Here is a 26081-nt window from a genome sequence, read left to right as displayed (position 1 = left end):
CGATTCCCCCAGAGTTCCGTTCCCTCAGATCCTGCTTTTCCAGCAAAGCTGCGATTCCTGTACCCCAGCAGAGAGCAATACCCCGTCGGCAAACTTCCACAGAGACATCTTACCGAGGTCCCAGCCCAGCCCCTAATTAAGGGCACACCTCTACCTTTCCCCTTCCCAACCTTCTCCCACAACTGTGCTTTCCCCCGCCCTATTCCCTTTTTCTGTTTATTAATTCTCCTCAACCTCTCCACCATCTCGTGGCCCAGTTTCAGGATTCCCCCGCAAACTCACCCACCGCACTGTCTCCTCAAAGTTGCGTTCCCAAACGGCGCAGTGCTCTGCCCGCACTTACGCTCCCAGCGCTGCTTCGGGATCTGCGCTCCCCAACTGCCCTCCGGGAATACGCCCTGCAGTTGAACAGCGCCCGAGGCCCCGCCCCCTCTGCGTCCATTGGCCATTGTTCTCGAGAAGTCCCGCCCCTCCCGCTTCCAGCCCGCCTCCCCGCCCCGCTTCCCTTGTTTTCATTCCCCCTGTCACACGAGGCAGTGGCAAGCCCGAAGGGGAGGAGAGAAGGGGGCGGAAAGAGGGCGGAAAGTGAAAGGCGCCGAGGGCCGCTCTGTCTCCCGTCTGACTCGGTTCTCGACTGCTCCGGGCCGCCGATGTATTGTGGGATCGCGGAGCCGTCCCTGAGACGCTGGGATCCGCAGAGGAGCCCACTTGAGAGCGCCTCCTGTCGTCTGTAAGGTTGCCTTGCCATCCCTCGGCACCACAACTTCCCCCGCCCCCCCATCGCCTCCTCCTCCATCCTCCAGTTCAAAATGGCGACGGCGGCGGCAGCGGCGGCGGTGATGGCTCCTCCGGGCTGCCCGGGTTCGTGCCCCAACTTCGCCGTAGTCTGCTCCTTCTTGGAGCGCTACGGGCCGCTGCTAGACCTGCCTGAGTTGCCGTTCCCTGAGCTGGAGCGGGTGCTGCAGGCGCCGCCGCCGGACGTCGGCAACGGAGAAGGTAAGCGAGGGGCCCGAACGCCCGGCGGGAAGCGGCCCTGGCGCTCTGCTACTCTCCGCTCTTCACAGGCGCCCCGGTTCTTCGCGGCTCGGGCCTCCGCGGCTCTGTCTTCCCCCTGGGACGCAACTCCGCCGGGCTGGTCTTCTCCGCCCAGCCCCCGGGGTCTTGGGCAGTGGGGAGGCGGGGCGGAGGCCCCCTAGGGCCACTCGGCCGGGCGGGGAGCTGAGGTGGAGGCGTTGCGGGCTAGGTGTGGGCTGGAGGCGGGGAGGGGTCATTGTGCCGGTCGGCAGCCCCGGGGACTGCTTCTCCGCGGCGGAGGGCGGCCCCCCACCCCGTCTCCCCCTTGGCGGCGGGGGAAGGGGAGCGCAGGTTCCGGCCAGCTTTGCGCTTTTCTCCTCCTCCCCACCCTTACTCCCTCCCCTCCTCCCACCAGTCTTCCCGACCATCTCGGGGAAGGCTGGGCTCGGCTGCTCCGGACACCTCCTTATCTCCCTTCACCTGGGTGGGCGGGGGCCAGCGGACACTCAACTCTCCCTCCCTCTGTTGGGAACTCCCCTGAGAGATTTGTCCCTTTTCCCTTCCCCTCGAGGGCTGCTTTAACCCCTAAAACTCCTTCCTTGAAGTGGGGAGGTCTGCTCCTCCCCCACGGGAGGGGGTTCTTCTCCATTCTCGGTAGGGGGGCGAAGTCGGTTCAGCTCCACTGTGGAGAGGAGAGGGTTAATTCCTCCTCCATAGTTCTCCTTCCTCTCCCCACCTCCCCCAAAATAATAGGCGAGCATCTCCCCACTTTTCCAATCCCTTCCCCCTTCATCTTGGCAGCCGGGCTTAGGCGAAGAAGTCGTCTCCCTCCCATTTGCACGGTAGGGTGGGGTGGTTAGTATGTAAGCTGGAGGAGGGGCTCTGACGGAGGGGGAAACAGTTGAAGAAGGTGCTTGTTGCTCATGTTTCTCTCTCTGGTGCCGCTGGTCTATTATTGGTGTTCGCAAGTGGTGCTCCTTCCACATAAGGCCACCGCGCGGGTGCAGGGCGCATGCTCTGCCCGGCCCCATTGAAACTTCCTGCTGCTGCTGCTGGTTCTTTTGCTGGAGCATCTCAGCGCTGCGCCTGCTGCCTCCAGCCTTCACACTGAGTGCTTATACTCACCCCCATTTATTCCCGATCCCTGCCTCTCCTTTTCTGGCACTTTTCTTTCCTCAGAGAAGGCTTTTTTGTTATACTCTGAGCATTGCCTTTATCTGGAAACAGCCCTTGGCTGGAGAAGAAACGTTTTCCAAATAGGTCTCTTTTTTTGTCCATATTAGCTGGCCAAAGTGGATTGGTTATTGTACAAGACAGATAGCTGTTTCCTTTCCAAGAAAGCAGGGTCGCTCTTCTATTCTCTATGTAAATGAAGAAGTTTCTGTTAACTGAATTTATTTGCATTGCTAGGAAGCGCCAAGTATGAAGTTCTTCAGAATATTACCTATAAAGAATCTGTATGATGTTATGGCTACCGAAGACTCAAATTAATACAGCAGTTATAATATAAGCCTAGTAATCTGTTCTTACCTGTCCACATTCCCTCTACCTGTAACAAACTGGCTTACAAAAGGCTAATTTAAAAAATAGTACAAAATAGGAGGGTGACTAATTACATTATATAAAGGCTTCTCACAGAATTTGTTTAAAAATTAAGCTCCCATTGTAGTAATTTCATTATCAAATTGTATTTACATTCTTTTTTATATTTTTTATTTTTATTTGTTTTTTGAGACGGAGTCTCACTCTGTTGCCCAGGCAGGAATGCAGTGGCAGGATCTGGGCTCACTGCTACCTCCGCCTCCCAGGTTCAAGCGATTCTCCTGCCCCAGCCTCCCGAGTAGCTGGGATTACAGGTGTGCACCACCGAGCCCGGCTAATTTTTGTATTTTTAGTAGAGACGGGGTTTCACCATGTTTGCCAGGCTGATCTCGAACTCCTGACCTCGTGATCCACACACCTTGGCCTCCCAAAGTGCTTTACAGGCGTGAGCCACCAAGCCTGGCCCGTTTTTTAATTTTTAAGAAGGTAGTCATTGTGAAGTAGGATGCCTTAGTAAGTTGCTTTTAGGATGCCTTGGGAAGTGATAGTAATGTATCTCTCAGAGAACGAACTGTGGGCATTTGGGGAAAGGATGGCTAGTAAATTGTTTTGGTAATTTCTTTGGACCAAGTTGAAATGCATAGGTTTTCTGGGATGGCGTGGTATTTTGGGTAGTATATGAGATTGCTTGAATCTACATTTATTTTAGGTATTTTGACCAGTGCATTTAGTTTATATTAATATCACAGGAATACAATATTAGAGTCAGTTGAATTGAATAGTGGTTCACTAAGTAAGTAAAAATGACAGGTAACCTGGGCTAAGAAGGATCATTTATTTCAGCCACTGCATTACCGTTGGTATAGAGTTGCTAAGGGGACTGATAATAATAGATCCTATCATAAGGTGATCTTAGAATAATTATTAATTAATGTTACACAGTTCAGAACACTTGGCAAATGAGAAGTCTCTGCAGGTGAAATGCTGTTACTGTGCAGGGAAACGATTTTCAGAACTTTGATGATGAACCATGATATCATCATCAAAGTTGGCTTGTTGGGTGAACCTCTGTCGTTTTATCAGCTATTACAAACTTTCAGCCTGTTTCAAATAGCTGATAAAATGATAGTGGCTCAGCCAACAAGATTTGAACTGAGTCTTTTTGGGAAAGAGTTGTAGTGTACAAGAGTTAAAAGACATGGATTTAGTTCCTTGCAACTGTTCTCTGAAGTTGATAGTATTATTCCTATTTGGCAGGCATAGAAACTAAGGCTCAATAGATTAAGGTGCTTAAGAGTCTATAGTTAATGGTAGAATATGATTTCCAACCCAAGTCTGAGTCCAAAGCCACAAAATTATATACCTTGCCATAGTATCATGGTTTCCAAACTGCACCAAGGCACCCTAGAGCATTGTTGCCAACTCCATCTGATAGTTTAAATTTTCAAGTAGGATACAGTGGTAGCCGAAATTTGCTGGTTGCCAGGTGAGCTACTGCCTTGACATACTTCATGGTTTCAAGGTTGTGCCACATTTCTATAGATGATATGTCTTTGTGAAGCTGGTTTTTTAGCGGTTGCTGTGGTAAAATTCACAAAAAAGTCAGTATGCAGCAGGAAAGAGGATAGCAGGGTCCACTCTGATTCCAAGGTTTGAAAAGTTGTGCAGTGCCCAACAGTAATACACATTTCACAAGTAATTATGGTTAAGAATGAAGTAAAAACATTATTTGTTGAAATTTAGCTAGGTTATTTTTTCACATGGCTACTGACTACTTAATAAGTGGAAGTGTTATTATTTCTGGCCTAGGGCTGCTGTGAGAAAATTACTGAGATACTGAGGGTGCCGTGAAGCTAGAATGTTTGAGAACCTTTGCTCTAGAAACTATCATTGAATTTCGGGGCAAGAAAGAAGGGACTATTGTGTCATTGCCTTTATTTTTCAGGAGGAAAATCAAGCTACAGAGAGAGATTTCAAGTGTATACAGCTAACTGTTGGTGTTAGTCAAATTCTTATTTGAAAAGCCCACATATATGCTGAAATTGTCAACAAAAAATTTAGATTTATAGTTGATACTAGTTATAAAAGGATGTGCCAAATGAAGGTGGTGTTTTATCCTCCTCTCCCTGCAGTCTACTTTAGTCCTCCCAATTCTGTGCTTTGTGTGGACTTCCCCAGGTTTCTCCTAACTGGAGGTAGATGATGGTGGTTATGGATAAAGTTGACGTTGACTTTGTGAGATCCCTGACACCCAAGGCTCCTAAGTATCTTTCCTCTCCTGCAGAGAATATTTCTTTTCAAGAGGAAACTATACTACTGTATTCTTTAAAAACAGTCTGGATATTGGTTGAGATGTTACATATATCTAATAAATTTATTAAGGTAAATACAGATAATGTGTTAGGATTCTCATAGTTTATACTATGGTTGGCTGAATTAGTTGTATGATATTAAGTAAGTTGAGCCATTAGTTTTTTGTTTCATTTTTGCATTTAATGATTTGAATTTTAACTCGAAGTGAAAATATCAAAGTTAAAAAAATGCCTTTTTAACTGGAATTGTAACTATAACTTACTATGGTCTCTCTTACTGGTACTGTAACTGATCTGTGTGTAACAATATATTTTTAGGTGCATTTGATAAAGTGGAAAGGTGATTACTGTAACTGGGGCCACATGTGTTGATTTAAACAAAAGATTTTACCAGGTGCATGTACTAGAGGTTGCATGAGTCTACAGTGGTAGACACTGGTAGGGCATACATACATTAATAGTAGTATTGCTGGGGCCAGAGCCTGGTTAGGTTGAAACTTTTTAGTTGTGTCTCTTCTGCCTTTGAAAAAGCAAATATTCTTTAGGGCACTTATTAGATGAAAAGAGAGAAACAGATTTCATCTCCACCATTTTCGATATGTCATAGAGTAAAGTTACGGAGGTTTGGAGGGAGGTTGTTGTCATTGTCCTAGGAACTAGGAGGTAATGGAGACAGAGGGACTTGTCTGGCTAACATGAGCCTGTTAATGCAAACTGGCTTACTTTTTAGTCTTTTAATGATTAAGAAGTTTGCCTTAAATTTAGATGTTTTGTTAAGTTCTTAAACAGACCTCACCGGTAAGAAGGTAAGCAAGCATTTATTAGTGAGGTTATTCACTTAATATATATATTGAGCATCTGCTATGTACAGATGTAGCTACAGTAAATATTGTGGGGATTATTTTTTTAAAAAAACATTAAACATGAGCCTTTTAAAAGAAATTTCTAATCTAGTAAGAAATAGCTAAACTGAGCTTGAAACTAATGACATCATTCAAAGACTTAGTTTTTTTTCTCTGAGATTTTATCAAGTGGAGCAATAGTCCGTGCATTCTAGTCTACAGTTGTAAACTAAAATTATCTAACAATTTTATGGTGAGATGTATGACCACATGCAATATGAAAAAGAATAATTCAGGCCTAAAGTACATGTTAAACTGAATCATGTATTCAAGGAAGACAGTTATGTGTGTTGTTAGATTTAATAAAATTTTACTCTACCTGATGGGTATAGTCTTAATATATTATGCTTGGCTTTTTTTGTTTGTTTTCTGTTTTTATTGTAGAGTAGATCCCACAAAAGGTATTAGGGTATTTTCTATTTTCTTTTAAAAACATTTAATTATATGGGCAATTATAATGTACACTTTGTAATTACATATGTTCTAGCAGGCTTTGATTTTTAATTTGTTTAGCTTTATATGGTCATATCTGTACGTTAGGTTTGCATTAGCTAACTTTTAAACATTTTTGCTCGCTCTTGTACTGTTGGGCACAAGCAGTGCCTCCAGGCAAATTGATGCCTAAACTAGAGAGAACAGCAGGCATTCTCTCCTTACTCTTCCACTTCCCCTTTACTTCCATTTCCTGATCCTCATGTCTGAAGTCACACCACCTTTAGCCATTTGAAGGGGCTGCTTCTTCCATTTTACGCTTTCTTTCACTTGTATGCCATAAAGTGCAGTGCCTGCTAGCTCCAGTGTGCTCTGTATGAGGTTTGCACCAGTGTGTTAGGAAGAAAGGAGGCACTGAAATTAAAAAAAAACCATATTTTGGGGGTTTCCAAGTCACTAAACAATTGAACCACAATAATAGAGGAAACTGACTTAAACAGTATTAAACTGGTATTGCTTCAAACATTATCAAAGGATTTCTGAGGTGAATGCCTACTTTATAAAAATGTATTTTTTCGGCTGGGCACGGTGGCTCATGCCTGTAATCCCAGCACTTAGGGAGGCCCAGGCGGCGGATCACCTGAGGTCAGGAGTTTGAGACCAGCCTGGCGAACATGGTGAAACCCCATCTGTACTAAAAATACAAAAATTAGTCAGACCTGGTGTCAGGCGCCTGTAATCCCAGCTACTCGGGAGACCGAGGCAGGAGAATCGCTTGAACCTGGGAGGCAGAGGTTGCAGTGAGCCAAGATGGTGCCACTGCACTCCAGCCTGGGTGACAGAGCGAGACTCTGTCCTTTTTTTTCCCCCCCAGAGTTAGGGCCTTGAATTCCTGGGCTCAAGAAATCCTCCTGCCCCAACCTCCCGAGTAGTTGGAACTACAGGCACATGCCACCATGCCCAGCTAATTTTTAAAAATTTTTTTGGTAGAGAATGAGGTCTTGCTGTATTGTCCAGGCTGGTCTTGAACTCCTGGACTCAGGTGATACTCCCACCTCGGCCTCCCAAAGTGCTGGGGTTACAGGCATGAGTCACCACTTGTGGCCAAAACTTTTTTTTTTTTTGAGACAGTCTCGCTCTGTGGCCCAGGCTGGAGTGCAGTGGCGCGATCCTGGTTCACTACAACCTCTGCCTCCTGGGTTCAAGTGATTCTCCTGCCTCACGCTCCCAAGTAACTGGGATTACAGGCATGCACCACCATGCCTGGCTCATTTTTATGTGTTTAGTAGGGACAGGTTTTGCCATGTTGGTCAGGCTGGTCTTGAACTCCTGGCTTCAGGTGATCCAGCCACCTCCACCTCTCAAAGTGCTGGGATTGCAGGCATGAGCCACTGTGCCCAGCCACTTCTTATTTTTATCCTGAGTTTAGGGATGTGTTAAATTGTATTAATTCTCCATTATCTCTGTGTGTGTGTGTGTGTGTGTGTGTGTGTGTGTGTGTCCTTTTACAAATTATAAATGGCCGCTCTTTGAGGAAGTCGCGGTGGTAGGTGCTGCGGCTCTGTGATCCGCAGGCTCCTGCTCCTTACTCACTACTGTTCGCTCTCGCCGAGGAACAAGTCGGTCAGGAAGCCGTGCAGCAGCTATGGCTTTGAAGGTTACCGGAAAAACACGCGTGGAGCTGGAGGTGGCAGTTCACCGAAATTGAATCACTCTAACGAGCCGCAACATAAAATCCCTGGAAAAGGTGTGTGCTGACTTCATCAGAGGAGCAGAGGCAAAGAATCTCCAAGTGAAAGGACCAGTTCGAATACCTACCAAGACTTTGAGAATCACTACAGAAAAAGTCCTTGTGGTGAAGGTTCTAAGACGTGGGATCCTTTCCAGATGAGAATCCACAAGCGACTCATTGACTTGCACAGTCCTTCTGAGATTGTTAAGCAGATTGCTTCCATCAGTTTGAGCCGGGAGTTGAGGTGAAAGTCACCATTGCAGATGCTTAAGTCAACTATTTTAATAAATTGATTACCAGTTGTTAAAAAAAAATTATAAATGGCAGACTTGATCCCATTCATCATTAGACTACTTTCATGTTTTGCTCAGAATTAAGTAAGTTTTAATATTCATTTAAAAATACTTATCAAATAAATTTGGTTTCTCTCAAAGTAAGTTGTGTAAGATATTCTGATTTTAGCAAATTATTTCATAATTTGTGCCTTTCTGTTAATAAACAGAAGAAGCAGGGATGAGGTGGTGGGGAATTTGCAGTGTTTATTTAATCTTACCAGTTTAGAGGCTGGACAAAGAGCAAGAATTAAAAGTTATGCTTAGAATGTTTGTCCAAAATTAAGGTGATCTTTTCAGTGTAAGAACATGAGTTGTGAGGGCACAGCAAGCAGAAACTACACCAGACTGATTTTTTTTTTTTTTTTTTTTTGAGATGGAGCTCTGTCACCCAGGCTAGAGTGTAGTAGTGCGATCCCAGCTCACTGCAACCTCTGCCTCCTGGGTTCAAGTGATTCTCCTGCTTCAGCCTCCTGAGTAGCTGGGACTACAGGTGCCCGCCACCACGCCCAGCTAATTTTTTTGCATTCTTAGTAGAGATGGGGTTTCGCCATGTTGGCCAGGCTGGTCTCAAAAACTCCTGACCTCAAGTGATCTGCCTGCCCCGGCCTCCCAAAGTGCTGGGATTACAGGCATGAGCCACCACATCCAGCCCAAACTGATTTTAAGAAAGAAGAGCATGAGGGCAAAACTTGACAGCAGACAGACCAGGCTTCAGCCTCCTGTAGTTGAACAAGGATTGCTTGAAGAGCAACATGAAGTATATAATGTATATATGGCTCATGTAAGCAAGAGTTCCTCCAGAAAGCTTTCGTAGTGGAGGTTGAGTCTGTATTTAATTTTAGACTCTAAGCTTTATTCTCCAGTATTTGTACATGTTTATCTTAATCATTTTCTGAATAGTAGGATTATACAGTTTTTTCCCTTTGGTTTTTCTTATATTTTTTCACATTTCATTTTCTATGTTAATTGTGCATTTCTTTGATAATCACCAAAAAACTATTTAAAACTAGATTTCTAAAGAGGCTTTTTAAAAGGAAAATTGAATTTCTGCTTGTATTTATGTACTCTTATTTTTATAGACAGGGTCTCACTCTGTCACCCAGGCTGGAGTGCAGTGGCTTGTTCTCTGCTGACTGCAACCTCTACCTCCCAGACTCAGGCGATCCTCCCATTTCAGCCTCTCAAGTTGCTGGGGACTACAGGCATGTGCCACCACACCCAGCTAAAAATTTTTTGTATTTTTAGTAGAGACAGAGTTTCATTATGTTGCCCAGGCTGGTCTCAAACTCCTGGGCTCAAGCAATCCACCTGACTCAGCCTCCCCAAGTGCTGGGATTACAGGCGTGAGCCACCAAGCTCAGCCTATTTATTTATTCTTAATCTTGAATTACCTCTTAAATGAATGTTACTATCATCTACCCAAGTCACTCAGATCAGAAACCAAGGAGGCATCCTAGACCTTAGCCTCTGACACTTTCTTTGATACCAAGTTATATTGAGTCTGTTTATCCCCTTTTATATTCAACCTTGCTTTTCTGTTCTCATTGCTAGTTTTAATCACGCCAAACTGCTTTTACATCTCTGAAGATGTGAAAGGTTGTTTTACATTTATGCTTTTTCTTCGTCCTCCTGCCTCTGAGTCGAATATACCATCCCCATCTTCCTTCCCTTGCCTGCTCACTGTACCCGTCATTAGTCTGCTCTTTAAGCATCAAATGCTCTGTGGAAAATTTCCTTCTTTCTGTCTCTCAAGTTAAATTAACCACTTCAATCTCCTTACCCTGCACGTACACTTTGTAGATTTTATGCCACAGTACTCATAACACTTTTTGCAGTTACTGCCTAGCCTACAAGATGGTAAACTCTTTGAGGACAGGGTTTCTTACTTTATTTTATCACCAGCAATTGGTGGGTAATAGCAAATATGTAGTAAATGTTTGTGGAATTAATAGTTTTCCTCAACTTACTATAGGACCATGTTCTGCTCTAAAACTTTGAAGTTAAAGCCTAGTCTGTGATAGCTTAGTACAGTGGTGGGCAATCTACAGCCTGTCCTCTCTATCTTTGTAAATAAGGTTTTACTGGTATACAGCCATGTTCATTTGTTTACATTCTGTTGTCTGTAGCTGCTTTCACACAACTGTGGCAGAGTTGAGTGATGGTCACAGAGAACATATAACTTCAAAACCTAAAGTATTGGGCTGGGTATGGTGGCTCATACTGCAATCCAAGCACTTTCGGAGGATTGTCTGAGTCCCAGAGGTTGAGGCTGATCATGCCACTGCACTCCAGCCTGGGTGAAACAGCAAGACCCTGTCTCAGAAAAAAACAAAACCCAAAACCTGAAGAACTTATTATCTGTCTAGCCCTTTACAGAAAAAAATTTACTGATCTTTATTCCAGTGTATGAAGATGGAAGTCTTATCAGATGATGATCTCTGTTTTTGAAAATACATTTAGAACCAGTATAATACAAATTTCCAGCCTCGCCAACATGGTGAAACCTGGTCTCTATTAAAAATACAAATTAGTTGGATGTGGTGGGATACACCTGTAATCCCAGCTACCTAGGAGGCTGCCACACAACAATTGCTTGAACCCAGGAGGCAGAGATTACAGTGAGCCATGATTATGCCATTGCACTCCAATCTGGGCAACAGAGGGAGACTCCACCCATCTCCCCCCCAAAAAATAAAAATAAAAAGGAACCAATATAATACAAATTAAATGCCTAGAATGTCCTGTGAATGAAACTTAGTGGAACAGTAGTCTCCCCAGTATTGATCTAATTTTACATCCAACTGTTTTAGTATTAATTACTCCTCTTGGGTTAGGTGAGTCTAAAAGCTTTTTTGTTAACAAGGTGATGACATTATATTGAACTAAATTTCTTTCATTCAAGAGTAGCCATGGCTACCTCTGCCTAATTGTCATAAGGCAATGCCAGGATGGGAGCCATGTGACATGGTAATTGGTAGTGAGGGTAAGAGTTGTTGTAACATTGCTGCTATACTGGCCTCAAAGTCTTATCCAAGTGGACTGATTAGGGGAGGGTAAGGTTGGATGAATGGTGATGCCGTGTACTCAGATGGGAAAGGATGTAGTTATTAAAGGTAGAACTTAAAAGATTTACTTAGGTTACTTAGAGGACACAGGACTGGGAAAGAATGTACTAGATAATAGCTTACTAGTAAGTGGGATTAAATGCCTTGGTCATCAGTGTATTTTGCAGCAAAAGTGCAGTACTGGTTATGAAGCTTAGGCATGTGTTATGCTAGATATCTCAGGGAGTTTGATACTTACTCTTTTCCTTTTGTCCTTAGCATCTTCACAGTTGGCTCTGCAAATAAATATAATTGCCACTTCTTCAATGTTTAGATGTTAAAAGTGTTTTAGGAAAAGAAAATTAGGTAGAATGAGTTATTCCAAATAATCCATTCTAACTTGCTTTTGGTATTTGGAGTTTGGGGATATAGCAATATGGTAATATTGGAAAACTTTGATTAATCAGAAGTATAATGGAGCTTACTTTATATTCCCATTAAAGTCTTGCCAACCTCCAGTTTATCAGAACCATAAATAAACCATCTACAGCAGCACTAACTTGGTCTGGCATCTGAATTCAGACATTCCATAATCCTCATTTTAGAGGTTTTTTGTCCTATGAATTTTGACTGTGGTCAACTGGTTTCTCCTTGCTATCTTTTTGCCTCATGGCCTTTTCATTTTATACCCTATCTTCTATTATTACCTAGTTGTATTCACCATGATAACTATATCTCACTCCTTTAGTGTCCTATTTTCCTGTATTTTGGACTTCCCCTTTAAACCTTAATTATCTTCTCCATTCTTATCTTTCGTAGAAAAATAGATTACAAAAATGCAAAAATAAGGGGCTTTGTAGTATGCATGCTTTACCATAATTTTATAGGTTAAATGCCTGTAGTAGTACTGTTGTAATTATCAGAGCTTACTGTTGAGCCAGACTCCATGATAAAGTCATCTACCAAGATTATCTTATTTAATCCTTAGAGCCACTCTATTTATAGTGTCATTATTTTCATTTTATAGATAAGGAAACTATTTAGAAAGGTAAAGTAACTTGCCTGAAGTCACACAGTGTTAAAGGGTTGGAGAAAATTTTGATAAAAAGATACTTGTAATGCTGTGGGAATTTAAAACTGGGTAAGTCTGGCTTCAGAGCCCAACTCTTAACCAGTGTTTTGTCCCCACAGGTATGCTCTTAAAATGATTGTAGTGTGATCCACAGTACTATGGTTGTGGTCTGAACTCTAAGCAATGATCTGAACACTTAGGCTTCTGAGTCAGATAACGTAGCATATTTCCCCACTCACCTCTTTTTACTTTAAAAGTTTTAATTTTATTAGCATGAACATTATTTTTAAAAGGTATAATATTTGAGGCCGGGCGCGGTGGCTCACGCCTGTAATCCCAGCACTTTGGGAGGCCGAGGTGGGCGGATCACGAGGTCAGGAGATCGAGACCATCCCGGTTAACACGGTGAAACCCCGTCTCTACTAAAAATACAAAAAATTAGCCGGGCGTAGTGGCGGGCGCCTGTAGTCCCAGCTACTCGGGAGGCTGAGGCAGGAGAATGGCGTGAACCCGGGAGGCGGAGCTTGCAGTGAGCCGAGATCCCGCCACTGCACTCCAGCCTGGGCGACAGAGCGAGACTCCGTCTCAAAAAAAAAAAAAAAAAAAAAAAAGGTATAATATTTGAATGGGATACTAAAATATATTGAAACCAAAGAACTACAAGTCATACGTACAGTTGAATGCCTTGATATTTGAACATGAATCTTAACCAGCTTTTCATCATTGCTTGGGAAAATCCTAGTCTTCCTCACACTTTGAAATAATTTTCTTGCTGTTGTTGTGTTTTTGTTTGTTTGTTTGTTTTTTTAGACAGAGTCTTTCTCTGTTGCCCAGGCTGCAGTGCAGTGGCATGATCTCGGCTCACTGCAACCTCCACCTTGGGTTCAAGTGATTCTCCTGCCTCAGCCTCCTGAATAGCTGGGAGTACAGGCACGCACCATCATGCCCAGCTAATTTTTGTATTTTTAATAGAGACAGGGTTTCACCATGTTGTCCAGGCTGGTCTTGAACTCCTGACCTCAAGTGATTCGCCTGCCTTGGCCTCCCAAAGTGCTGGGATTACAGGTGTGAGCCACCGCACCCAGCCTAATTTTTTTATTTAAAAAATTTTTTTAATGGGATTGGCTCGACGAAATAATTTTCTTCTTGAATATTTTGGAAATTAGACTTCGTCTCCTGTACCTATACAAGTTTTGTGCATTGTGTTATCAAATGCCTCCAGGGTGTGTTCCTGTACTGCCATGACTTCCATTTACCCTAATTAAAGCAACTGTCTTTTCCTTGTAGTTCAGTGTTTTTCAGCCCTTATGATAATCGTGTGTCATTAACTACGGGCTGTGCATTAGAAGCCCTTGAATCCCTCTGAAAAATACTCATGCCTAGGCCTTAACAATGCTCCATTGAAATCAGAATCTCTGGGGATTGAGGCCCTGGCATCAGTGATTTTAATGTGTAATCAGGAATGTCTGTTCTTACCTATTTTTCCTAATACTTCAAATTTTGTTTTAAACTCTATATTTATGCTCAGATTAAAGTCTGTTTTGTCTGGTATTAGCATAGCCACTTCATCTGTCTTTCGTTTACTTTGCATGGTCTTTTGTTTACTTTGCATGGTGTGTTCCTTTCCATCCTTTTAACCTCCTTGTGTCTTTGATTCTAAATTTTGTTTCTTGTAGACAGCAGATATTTGTATCATGTTTGCTTGATCTTGTTTGCATGAATATAGTTATGCAGGCAGTTATAATACAAAGTATAACTACTGTTTAGAGTAATTCTAGGGTGCTTTGGGAATATAAATGAGCAAGTACCTAATTTTGGCCAGGGGAAATCATAACATAACTGTAGGCATTATGGAAATTTGAATGGTTGAGTAAAAGTTGGAAAAGCATTCGAGGCAGGGAACGGCATGGGAAAAGACAGAAGTTTCTGATAATGTGGCATGTATGGGAAATTGTAACCTAACTGTATACATTAGGTTTCTGATAAGGTTTGTGGTTGAGGAACTTAAGACCATATGAGAAAATTAGATTGGGAGTTATAAATGATTTGCATGTATTTTTCCCTTCTTTAAAGTAAAAATGTAGCACATTAAATAAAGGTAACATGCCAGTGACTGACAATAAATTCTATAAGGAATTAATTTTCTCTTATTCACTCTATTTCTAGCCTAGTATTTAGCATATAGTAGATACTCAAATGTTAGCTGAATGAATGTGTCATGTATTTCAAAATATTTTTAGATTTTCTCTTCATCCCTTGTTTGCTAGACATTTTTCAGGGTATAACTTTTTTCTTTTGGATATAGCTTGTAAAGATATACATTACTGAATTCTCACCCCCTCCTCCCTTGTTTTTTCACTCATTTAATTTTTGTTTTTTTAATGACTCAGGTGTTTCCTTCTGGGTCCTCCCCATCTTTGGTCTTTCATTTCTTCCTTTCTTTCTTTCTCTTTATTTAGAGAGAGGGTCTTGCTCTATTGCCCAGACTGCAGTGCAGTGGTGCAGTCATAGCTCACTGCAACACAGAACTCCTGGACTCAAGTGATCTTCCTGCCTCAGCCTCCCAAGTAGCTAGCACTACTTGTGCCCCTACACCTGGCTAGTTAAAAAAAAAAAAATCTTTTTTTATAGAGATGGGTGTTGCTATGTAGCCCAGGCTGGGTTTTATAATAGTGCCTGAGATGCCTGAGATGGAAAATCTTTGGATAATCACTCAACTCATTTTTTGGGTTATTTGGTTATACCATGTCTTAACTGCATGAAAAGCATATGTTATTAACCTCTTCTAAGCTTATTACTTTTTATTTGAATCCTCTGAGTATAGTTAAAAATTCAATTTTTTATTTATCTTTCCCAAGACACCATGAGGGAAAAGTCATTATTCCGTTTCTGTTATTTACCTTTTTTTTTTTCTAAGAGCCCCACCCCAGTTTCTCTGAATGGATTTATATGATCTTCACCAGGGGTGACCTGAAATTCTCATTTCTGAAACAATTCTTTTGGGGTGTTGGAAAGGCAGTGGGCACTTTGGGGTGGTGATAGGGAAACCAGTTGGAGGTTGTTATAATATTACATTCCTATTGTGAGAAAGTTGGGGAAGTGGCCATAGGGAGTGAGAGAAAAGGCTAGATCTGAGAAAGAGAAGTTGCAGGTAGAATAGATAAGGACTTAGTTAATGGATTGATGCAAAGTGTTTTGAGTAGGAATAGTATTAATTTCCAGACTTCTGGCTTGGAGAGTGGGTAGTTAGTAGTTCCATTTACTGAGGAGGGAAACAGCTGAAAAGACCCAGCGTTTGTTTATAGGGAAAATATGTGACTTTCTAGTTTTAAACAATCAGAAGTCTGGTAACTTACATATAAGTACTATTTGAAGCACTACCATGTTAATTTCATAGCTTTCTAAAAGCTTACTTGAATAAACAGATTATAGCAATATATCATATTTTGCAATTCTTGTTTTTGTGAATTAAGTTGTTACATACATGTATATATATGCTATATAAACGTTAAGTATGCATTTAACATTTATGCTTTTAAGAAGAATTTTTTTAGAGTGCCTTATTTATGTACTTAAGGTAATTAAAATTAACTTTAATTAACTATCTTGGCATTTGTACCCAATTGTTTTGTCTTATAGGTAAAGTTTTCTTTAGTGAGATAATCTGTCTTTTCTTTTTTTTTCTTTTTTCTTTTTTTGAGATGGAGTCTCGCTTTCTCCCCCAGGCTGGAGTGTAGTGGTGTGATCTTGGCTCATTGCAACCTCTGCCTCCTGGGTTCAAGCAATTCTCCTGCCTCAGCATGCCACCACGCCTGGCTAAGTTTTGTATTTTAGTAGAGACAGGGTTTCACCATGTAGGCCGGGCTGGTCTCGAACTCCTGACCTCAGGTGATCCACCCACCTCAGCCTCCAAAGCATGGGGAGTACAGGCACGAGCCTGTGCCCTGCCAAGACATTCTGTCATTTTTATTTGCAAAAAAAAGGTTGTTGTAATTTTAGAGATTGCTTTTTTCTGCTAGGTACAGAGATTTGATACTTATTGGACATCCTTTTTGTTCCTTTCTCCCCACAAAGAAACAAACGGGAACTTCCAATAACTTGAAATACCACTCTAGATAAATAAACACATGTTTAATATATAGTGTGGATTTAGTTCATTGTAGATGAGAAGTACACATAAGTGATATGTGTGTTTGTGGGGGTTGAAAGTTGGTAAAGAGATTCCTGATTGATCTTGAAAAATTGTCTAGAAGAAATATAATTTGACTTGAATTCCATCTGAGGAACAACTCTTTATCCAGCCTTTTTTGAGACAAGGTCTTGCTCTGTTACCCCGGCTGGAGTATAGTGGTGGAATCACGGCTTACTGCAGCCTTGACCTGAGCTCAAGCTATCCTTCCACCTCAGCCTCTTGAGTAGCTGGGACCACAGGAACGTGTCACCATACTCAGCTAATTTTTTTTTTCTAGAGATGGAGTCTCACTGTGTTTCCCAGGCTGGTCTTAAACTTCTGGGCTCAAGTGATCCACCCACTTTGGCCTCCCAAAGTTCTGGGATTACAGGCGTGAGCCACCGTGGCTGGCTCTCCAACTATTAGACACCATGTGCTTATATAGACCTGTAATATTATTTGAGCTATAAGTAAAGGCTGGTCTCATGCCATTTATTTAGTGAAGGATGGTTCCATCATTTTACAAGGTAGAATGTCACCAACAAGACTGTCCCCATTTCACATGCCAGCTATAGGTGGGGTCCCCATGCTACCTGCCCTTCTACCCGACAGGCTACAAATCTGAGGATTTCCCATAACCCACCTCAGGTTCTGTAATTCACCGGAATGACTCACAGAACTCAAGAAAGTGCTTTATTTACAGTTATGGCTTTATTATAAAGGATACAACATAAGACCAGCCAGATGAAAAGACCCATAGGGCAAGGTCTGGAAGGGTCCTGGATGCAGAGCTTCTGTGCACTCTCCCTGTAGAATCAGGGCATGTCACCTTCCCAGCACATCATTGTGTTCACCAGTCAGGAAACTGCTCAGTATGACAGTTTTTTGTTTCTCTTTTCAGGCAGGGTGTTGCTCTGTTGCCCAGGCTGCAGTACAGTGGTGCAACATGGCCCACTGCAGCCCTGAGCTCCTGGGCTCAAGCGATCCTCCTGCCAAGTAGGGGGGACTACAGGCACATGTTACCATGCCCAGTTAATTTAGTTATATTTTTCTAGAGATGGGGTCTCACTATGTTGCTCAGGCTGATCTTGAATTTCTGGCTTCAAATGATCCTCCTGCCTTGGCCTCCCAAAGCGCTAGGATTATAGGTGTGAGCCACCACACTTGGCCATGCATAACAGCTTTTTTTTGAGATGAAGTCTCACCCTGTTGCACACACTGGAGTGCAGTAGCGTGCTCTTGGCTCACTGCAACCTCCGCCTTCAGGTTTAAGCAATTCTCCTGCCTCAGCCTCCTGTGTACCTGGGATTACAGGTGCGCACCACCATGCCCGGCTAATTTTTGTATTTTTAGTAGAGACAGGGTTTCACCATGTTGGCCAGGCTGGTCTGGAACTCCTGACCTCAAGTGATCCACCCGCCTTGGCCTCCCAAAGTGCTGGGATTACAGGCATGAGCCACTATGCCCAGCCAACATAACAGTTTTTATTAGGGTATTTGTTTTGTGATAGAACTCACTCTTGACTAGGCACAGTGGCTCATGCCTGTAATCCCAGCACTTTGGGAGGCCGAGGTGGGTGAATCGCTTGAGCTCAGGAATTCAAGACTAGCCTGGGCAACATGTTGAAACCTGTCTCTACAAAAAATAAAAAAATTAGCTGGGTTTGGTGACATGCAACTGTAGTCCTGGTTACTTGGGGGACTGAGGCGGGAGGATCACTTGAGCCCAGGAGGTGGAGGCTCCAGTGAGCCATGGTTGTGCCACTGCACTCCAGCCTGGGGAACAAAGTGAGACCCTCTTTCAAAACAAACAACTCACTCTCTAGTTCCTATCCTGTCCCTGGAGGTTGGGCTGAAACTACGTGGCATAAAGCCCCTACCCTCTAATCTCACAATAGGTCCTTCTGGCATGGCTAGCCCCTATCCCGTCCCATTTGTTCATAGTATATAATGTCTTTCATATGTTGCTGAATTCAGTTTGCTAGGTTTTTGTTTGTTTGTTTTTTAGAGATGAGGCCTCACTCTGTCACCCAGGCTGGAGTGAGAGGCACTGGAGAGGCGCTATATATCATAGTTTGCTAGTACATTGTTGAAAGTTTTTTTCTTGTGATATCTTTTAAATGGTTTTGGTGGCTCACTCCTGTAATCCTAGCACTTTGGGAGGCCAAGGCGGATGGATCACCTGAGGTCAGGAGTTCGAGACCAGCCTGGCCAACATGCCAACATGGTGAAACCCTGTCTCTACTAAAAATACAAAATTAGCCAGGCGTGCTGGTGCGTGCCTGTAATCCCAGCTACTTGGGAGGCTGAGGCAGGAGAATCGCTTGAACCCAGGAGGCGGAGATTGCAGTAGGCTGAGATCGCGCCATTGCATTCCAGCCTGAGCAATAAGAGTAAAACTCTGTCTCAAAAAAAAAATTAATTAATTAAATGGTTTCAGTATTAAAGTAAATGAAAATTTGTTCCTTCTATCCACAGAATACTCTGACACCAAATTTGTGGTTTTTCCACACCAAGCAATTTTCCATTTCTCTGCACACACCAAGTGGGTGTATTAAAATTTAATTTGATTCTGACACTTACTACCTAGAGTTACCACAGTCCCACAAATTAAAGACTCAGACCCACAAGACTGCCTTCCCACTTTAGACATCAGTTGCAAGTATTGGGTTCCAAGGGTCCCCACACTTCTGTCTGACTTGACTACAAATTGGGGGTTCTCACAACTTCCTTCTTAGGTTCAATAACCTACTGTATTGGCTCACAAAACTCAGGGAAACACTTTACTTCTGTTTCAGCTTTATTATGGAGGTTATAAACGAGCAGCCAGATGAAGAGGTACGCTGGGTAAACAAGATCTGGAAGAGTCCCAAGTGCAGGCGCTTCTGTCCCCCAGCACATGAATGCATTCACCAACTCAGAAGCTGTCTAAATCCTAGTTTAGGGATTATTATTATTATTATTTTATAGAAATGGGGTCTCTCTCTGTTGCCCAGGCTGTTCTTGCATTCCTAGGCTCAAGCGGTCCTCCTGCCTCAGCCTCCCAAAGTACTGGGATTACAGTCATGAGCTACCATGCCCAGCCAGTTTAGGGATTTTTTTTTAATGGAGGTTTCATCATGTAGGCATGATTGATTGTTAACCCAGTCTCCAGACTCTCTTCGCTCTCTGGAGGAAGTGGATGGGGCTGAAAGTTCCAGGCTCTAGGCATGTAATCATGGCTTGGTCTTCCTGGTGACCAGTTCTCATTCTGAAGATTCCAGGAGCCCACCAAGAGTTGCCTCATTAGAACAAAAGAGGCTTCTATCACCCAGGAAATTCCACGGGATTTAAGAGCTCTGTGTAGACACGCATGTTACCCCATTGCTCAGGAAATTGCAAGGAATTTAGGAGCTCTGTGTCAGGAACCAGGTCCAAAGAGCACATATTAGAACAAAAGATGCTGCTAGTGCCCTATCACTCAGGAATTTACAAGGATTTTAGGAGCTCTGTGTCAGGAACTGTGGAGCAAAGATCGAATATGTATTTCTTCTTTTTTTGAGACGGAGTCTTGCTCTGTTTTGCCCAGGCTGGAGTGCAGTGGCAAGCTCTCAGCTTATTGCAGCCTCCGCCTCCTGGGTTCAAGTGATTCTCCTGTCTCAAACTCCCGAGTAGCTGGGACTACAGGCATGTGCCACCACACCCGGCTACTTTTGTATCTTTAGTAGAGTTGGGGTTTCACCATGTTGACCAGGCTGGTCTCAAAACTCCTGACCTCAGGTGATCCAGCCACCTTGGTGTCCCAAAGTGCTGGGATTACAGGTGGAAGCCACTGAGCCCAGCCCCAACCATGTATTCTTATATATACAAGGTAATCCTGGCCTTATAAAATGAATTGGGAAGTGTGGGAAGTGTTCTATCCTCTTCTGTGTTTTGGAGGAGTTTGAGAAGGATTGGAATTAATTCTTTTTTTTTTTGAGAGAGAGAGAGAAGGCCTGGCTCTGTTACCCAGGTTGGAGTGCGATAGTGCGATTATGGCTCACTGCCACCTTGACCTAGTGGGCTTAAGCAGTCCTCTTGCCTCAGCTTCCTGAGAACTTAGGGTGCACCATCACACTCAGCTAATTGAAGAGACAGAGTCTCACTGTAGCCCAAGCTGGAGTGCAGTGGTGCAATCATACCTCCCTTCAGCCTTGAAGTCTTGGGCTCAAGCTGTCTTCCCATCTCAGCCTGTTGTGTAGCTGGGAGTACAGGTGTTTGCCACCAAGCCTAGCTAATTTTGAGTGTTTTGTAGAGATAGTGTCTTGCTGTGTTGCCCAGGCTGGTCTCATACTCTTGACCTCAAGTGATCCTCTCCCTTCCAAAGTGCTGAGATGACAGGCATGTGCTGCCACACCCAGCTGGTGTTAATTCTTTTATAAATGTTTGGTAGAATTAGTGAAGCCATCTGGTACTGGGCTTTCTTTGTGGAAAATACTTTTTTCTTTTCTTTTTTTTTGAGACAGGTTCTTGTTTTGTTGCCCAGGCTGCAGTGCAGTGGTGTGATCTCAGCTCACTGCAACCTCTGCCTCCCGGGTTCAAATGATTCTCCTGCCTCAGCCTCCCGCAAAGCTGGGATTACAGGTGTGTGCCAATACACCTGGCTAAGTTTTGTATTTTTAGTAGAGGCGGGGTTTCACCATGTTGGTCAGGCTGGTCTCCAACTCCTGACCTCAAGTGATCCACCCACATCGGCCTCCCAAAGTGCTGGGATTACAGGTATGAGCCACTACGCCCTACCACAGCCAAATTTTTCCTAAACTTTATTTTTATTTATTTATTTATTTTTAGAGAATAGGGTCTTGCCACGTCACCCAGGTTGGATGGAGTGCAGTGGCTATTCACGGGAGCAATCGTAGGGCACTTTGGCCTTAAATTCCTGATCTAAAGTGATCCTCACACATTAGCCTCCCACGTAGCTGCAGTGCTTTGTGGGAAAGCTGATTTGTGACTCAGTCTCTTTACTCTGTACAGGGATATTCACATTTTCTGTTTCCTCTTGAGTACATTTTGGTAGTTTGTTTCAGTGAAGTTGATAATTTCATCCAGGTTATCTAATTTGTTGGCATGCAATTTTCATAGTATTCTTTTATAATCTTTTTATTTATGTAAGGTTGTTAGTACTATCCCTGCTTGCATTTCTGACTTGGGAAACTTGAGTCTTCTATTTTTCTTCATCAGTCTAGTTAAAGGTTTATCAATTTTATTAATCTTTTCAAACAACCAGCTTTTCTTTTCTTTGAGTGTGATTCCATTTACATGACAAATTCAGAATAGGCAAATTCATAGAGACAGGAAATAAATTAATGGCTGCCCGAGATTGGGGTGGTGAAATTTGAAAGGACAAGATTTCCTTCTGGGTTAATGGAAATATTTTGTAATTATGTAGTGGTGATGGTTACACAATATTGTCTATTCATATCCTTTGCTTTTTTTTTTTTTTTTTGGAGACAGGGTCTCACTCTGTCACCCAGGCTGAAGTGCATAGACAAGATTATGGCTCACTGCAGCCTCGACCTCTCCTGATCTCAAGCGATCCTTTCACTTCCTGAGTAGCTGGGGCTATAGGCACATGCCACCACACCTGGCTAATTTTTGTATTTTTTATAGAGATGGAGTTTTGCCATGTTGCAAGCTGGTCTCAGATTCCTGGGCTCCAGTGATCCTCCCGCCTCATATTCCCAAAGTGCTTGGATTACAAGCGTGAGCCACTGCACCCTGCCTACCCATTTTCTAATGGAATTTATTTTTAGTCTTTATTATTATTATTTTTTTACTATTTAGTTTGAGTTTCTTGTATATTCTAGATATCATTCCTCTGTCATATGAGCAGTTTGTAAATATTTTCCCCCATTCAAGAGGTTGTGTCTTCACACTGTTGACTGCTTATTTTTCTGCGTGTAGCTTTTTAATTTAATATAGTCCCATTTGTTTATTTTTGTTTTTGTTCAAGGCTTTTGGGCTCTTTTTTTTCTTTTTTTTTTTTAATTATACTTTAAGTTTTGGGGTACATATGCAGAACGTGCAGTTTCATTACATAGGTATACACGTGCCATCAACCCGTCACCTACATTAGGTATGTCTCCTAATGTTATCCCTCCCCTATCCCCCCACCTCCCGACAAGCCCTGTTGTGTGATGTTTGCCTCCCTGTGTCCATGTGTTCATTGTTCAACTCCCACTTCTGAGTGAGAATGTGTGGTGTTTGGTTTTCTGTTCTTGTGATAGTTTGCTGAGAGTGATAGTTTCCAGCTTCATCCATGTCCCTGCAAAAGACATGAACTCATCCTTTTTTATGGCTATATAGTATTCCATGGTGTATATGTGCCTTTTTTTTTTTTTTTTTTTTTTTTTTTTTTTTTTTTTTTTTAAGATGGAGTCTCGTTCCTGTCATGCAGACTAGAGTGCAGTGGCATGATCTCGGCTCACTGCAACCTCCACCTCCCAGGTTCAAGCAATTCTCCTTCCTCAGCCTTCCAAGGAGCTGGGATTATAGGCGTGTGTGTGCCTGGCTAAATTTTGTATTTTTAGTAGAGACGGGGTTTCACCAAGTTGGCCAGGCTGATCTCGAGCTCCTGACGTCAGTTGATCCACCCACCTTGGCCTCCCAAAGTGCTAGGATTACAGGCATGAGCCACTGCTTCCGGCCTGTGTGCCACATTTTCTTTATCCAGCCTATCATTGATGGACATTTGGGTTGGTTCCAAGTGTTTGTATTGTGATTTATGCTGCAGTAAACATACGTGTTCATGTGTCTTTATAGTAGAATGATTTATAATCCTTTGGGTATGTACCCCAGTAATGGGATCGCTGGGTCAAATGGTATTTCTAGTTCTAGACCCTTAAGGAATCGCCACACTGTCTTCCACAATGTTTGAACTAATTTACACTCCCACCAACAGTGTAAAAGCATTCCTATTTTCTCCACATCCTCTCCAGCATCTGTTGTTTCCTGACTTTTTAATGATTGCCATTCTAACTGGCGTGAGATGGTATCTCATTGTGGTTTTGATTTGCATTTGCCTAATGACCAGTGATGATGAGAATTTTTTCATGTCTGTGGCTGCATAAATGTCTTCTTTTGAGAAGTGTCTGTTCATATCCCTTGCCCACTTTTTGATGGGGTTGTTTTTTTCTTGTAAATTTGTTTAAGTTTGTTGTAGATTCTGGATATTAGCCGTTTGTCAGATGGATAGATTGCAAAAATTTTTTCTCATTCTATGGGTTGCCTGTTCACTCTGATGATAGTTTCTTTTGCTGTGAAGAAGCTCTTTAGTTTAATTAGATTCCGTTTGTCAATTTTGGCTTTTGTTGCCATTGCTTTTAGTGTTTTAGACATGAAGTCTTTGCCCATGCCTATGTCCTGGATGGTATTGGCCAGATTTTCTTCTAGGATTTTTATGGTCCTAGGTCTCACATTTAAGTCTTTGATCCATCTTGAGTTGATTTTTGTGTAAGGTTTAAGGAAGGAGTCCAGTTTCAGTTTTCTGCATATGGCTAGCCAGTTTTCCCAACACCGTTTATTAAATAGGGGATCTTTTCCCCATTACTTGTTTGTGTCAGGTTTGTCAAAAATCATATGGTTGTAGATGTGTGGTGTTATTTCTGAGGCCTCTGTTTTGCTCCATTGGACTATATATCTGTTTTGGTACCAGTACCAATGCTGTTGTGGTTACTCTAGCCTTGTAGTATAGTTAGAAGTCAGGTAGCTTGATGCCTCCAGCTTTGTTCTTCTTGCCCAGGATTGTCTTGGCTATGCAGGCTCTTTTTTGGTTCCATATGAAGTTTAAATTAGTTTTTTTCCAATTCTGTGAAGAAAGTCAGCGGTAGCTTGATGGGGATAGCATTGAATCTATAAATTACTTTTGGCAGTATGGCCATTTTCACGGTATTGATTCTTCCTATCCATGAGCATAGAATGTTTTTCCATTTGTTTGTGTCCTCTCTTATTGCCTTGAGCAGTAGTTTGTAGTTCTCCTTGAAGAGGTCCTTCACATCCTTTGTAACTTGGATTCTTAGGTATTTTATTCTCTTTGTAGCAATTTTGAATGGGAGTTCACTCATGATTTGGCTCTCAGTTTGTCTGTTATTGGTGTATAGGAATGCTTGTGATTTTTGCACATTGATTTTATAGCCTGAGACTTTGTCGAAGTTGCTTATTAGCTTAAGGAGATTTTGGATTGAGACGATGGGATTTTCTAAATGTATAATCATGTTATTTGCAAACAGAGACAATTTGACTTCTTCTCTTCCTATCTGAATACCCTTTCTTTCTTTCTGTTGCCTGATTGCCCTAGCCAGAACTTCCAATACTATGTTGAATAGGAGTGGTGAGAGAGGGCATCCTTGTCTTCTGCCAGTTTTCAAAGAGAATGCTTCCAGTTTTTGCCTGTTCAGTACGATACTGGCTGTGGGTTTGTCATAAATAGCTATTATTTTGAGATATGTTTCCATCGATATCTAGTTTATTGAGATTTTTTAGCATGAAAGGCTGTTCAATTTTGTCAAAGGCCTTTTCTGCATCTATTGAGATAATCATGTAATTTTTGTCATTGGTTCTGTTTATGTGATGAATTACGTTTATTGACTTGTGTATGTTGAACCAGCCTTGCATCCCAGGGATGAAGTTGACTTGATCATGGTAGATAAGCTTTTTGATGTGCTGCTGGATTTGGTTTGCCAATATTGTATTGAGGATTTTCACATTGATGTTCATCAGGGATATTGGCCTGAAATTTTCTTTTTTTGTTGTGTCTCTGCCAGGTTTTGCTATCAGGGTGGTGCTGGCCTCATAAAATGCGTTAGGGAGGATTCCCTCTTTTCCTATTTTTTGGAATACTAATAAAAAAGAAAAGAGAGAAGAATCAAATAGACACAAGAAGAAACGATATAGGGGATATCACTGCTGATCCCACAGAAATACAAACTACCATCAGAGAATGCTATAAACGCCTCTACGCAAATAAACTAGAAATTCTAGAAGAAATGGATAAATTCCTGGACACATACACCTCTAAACCAGGAAAAGTCGAATCCCTGAGGAAACCAATAACAAGTTCTGAAATTGAGGCAGTGATTAATAGCCTGCTAACCAAAAAAAGTCCAGGACCAGATGGATTCACAGCCGAATTCTACCAGAGCTCTTCTTAGCTTTAATATATTTGCCTAGGTCAGTGTCCTGAAGAGTTTTCCCTATGTTTTCTACAAATAATGTTTAAGTTGTTAATTCATCTTAATTTGATTTTTGTGTTTGATGAGAAATAGAGGTCCAGTTTTATTCTTCTGCATATGCTTTTCCAGTTATTTCAGCACCACTTATTTGAGAGGGTGTCCTTTCCCCAGTGTAGGTTCTTGACAGCTTTGTCTAAGATCAGTTGGCTGGTAAATATATTTATTTCTGAGTTCTCTATTCTGTTTCATTGGTCTGTGTGTCTGATTTTATACCAATACTGAAATGTTTTGGTTACTGTAGCTTGTAATATATTTTTAAGTTGGGTAGTGTGATGCCC

At 42.3% G+C, this 26081-nt stretch overlaps 2 protein-coding genes and 1 pseudogene across 26 annotated transcripts in view, besides 8 other annotated features; 2 read left to right on the top strand and 1 right to left on the bottom strand.

The window, feature by feature from the left end:
• Positions 1-380, bottom strand: part of AAMDC (adipogenesis associated Mth938 domain containing) — an 84881-nt gene extending 84501 nt beyond the window's left edge. For 15 of the 23 annotated variants that reach the window (NR_171642.1, NR_171640.1, NR_171643.1 and 12 more), the window contains exon 1: positions 283-380. The gene's annotated coding sequence lies outside the window, so the exon portion shown is untranslated. The remainder of the gene's footprint in view (positions 1-282) is intronic. The other 8 variants (NM_001392034.1, XM_047426839.1, XM_047426837.1 and 5 more) reach the window with 2 other exon arrangements.
• Positions 1-26081, top strand: part of RSF1 (remodeling and spacing factor 1) — a 212224-nt gene that overhangs the window by 50709 nt on the left and 135434 nt on the right. For 2 of the 3 annotated variants that reach the window (XM_005274051.3, NM_016578.4), the window contains exon 1: positions 802-996. The exons of the other annotated variant lie outside the window; for it this stretch is intronic. In XM_005274051.3, the coding sequence (XP_005274108.1) occupies positions 810-996 (187 nt within the window). In that variant the 5' untranslated portion in view covers positions 802-809. Of the gene's footprint in view, positions 1-801; positions 997-26081 lie in introns of those variants that run through there. 3 annotated transcript variants of the gene reach the window in all.
• Positions 343-502: a silencer, noted in NCBI's record as "silent region_3803". NCBI's record gives its function as "represses an Ori minimal core promoter by ATAC-STARR-seq in GM12878 lymphoblastoid cells {active_cell/tissue: GM12878}" and the evidence as "EXISTENCE:reporter gene assay evidence [ECO:0000049][PMID:35858748]".
• Positions 475-1447: an enhancer, noted in NCBI's record as "NANOG-H3K27ac-H3K4me1 hESC enhancer chr11:77531123-77532095 (GRCh37/hg19 assembly coordinates)". NCBI's record gives its function as "activates a minimal SCP1, AML or CMV promoter by ChIP-STARR-seq in naive H9 embryonic stem cells {active_cell/tissue: H9 hESC(naive)}" and the evidence as "EXISTENCE:reporter gene assay evidence [ECO:0000049][PMID:30033119]".
• Positions 603-742: an enhancer, noted in NCBI's record as "active region_5311". NCBI's record gives its function as "activates an Ori minimal core promoter by ATAC-STARR-seq in GM12878 lymphoblastoid cells {active_cell/tissue: GM12878}" and the evidence as "EXISTENCE:reporter gene assay evidence [ECO:0000049][PMID:35858748]".
• Positions 753-922: an enhancer, noted in NCBI's record as "active region_5310". NCBI's record gives its function as "activates an Ori minimal core promoter by ATAC-STARR-seq in GM12878 lymphoblastoid cells {active_cell/tissue: GM12878}" and the evidence as "EXISTENCE:reporter gene assay evidence [ECO:0000049][PMID:35858748]".
• Positions 1093-1182: a silencer, noted in NCBI's record as "silent region_3802". NCBI's record gives its function as "represses an Ori minimal core promoter by ATAC-STARR-seq in GM12878 lymphoblastoid cells {active_cell/tissue: GM12878}" and the evidence as "EXISTENCE:reporter gene assay evidence [ECO:0000049][PMID:35858748]".
• Positions 1323-1412: a silencer, noted in NCBI's record as "silent region_3801". NCBI's record gives its function as "represses an Ori minimal core promoter by ATAC-STARR-seq in GM12878 lymphoblastoid cells {active_cell/tissue: GM12878}" and the evidence as "EXISTENCE:reporter gene assay evidence [ECO:0000049][PMID:35858748]".
• Positions 1448-2421: an enhancer, noted in NCBI's record as "NANOG-H3K27ac-H3K4me1 hESC enhancer chr11:77530149-77531122 (GRCh37/hg19 assembly coordinates)". NCBI's record gives its function as "activates a minimal SCP1, AML or CMV promoter by ChIP-STARR-seq in naive H9 embryonic stem cells {active_cell/tissue: H9 hESC(naive)}" and the evidence as "EXISTENCE:reporter gene assay evidence [ECO:0000049][PMID:30033119]".
• Positions 2043-2152: an enhancer, noted in NCBI's record as "active region_5309". NCBI's record gives its function as "activates an Ori minimal core promoter by ATAC-STARR-seq in GM12878 lymphoblastoid cells {active_cell/tissue: GM12878}" and the evidence as "EXISTENCE:reporter gene assay evidence [ECO:0000049][PMID:35858748]".
• Positions 7728-8241, top strand: RPS20P27 (ribosomal protein S20 pseudogene 27; annotated as a pseudogene).

Source organism: Homo sapiens, chromosome 11 (assembly GCF_000001405.40).
Source record: "Homo sapiens chromosome 11, GRCh38.p14 Primary Assembly".
Taxonomy (NCBI): Eukaryota; Metazoa; Chordata; class Mammalia; order Primates; family Hominidae; genus Homo; species Homo sapiens.
This window is presented reverse-complemented; position numbering and strand designations above follow the sequence as displayed.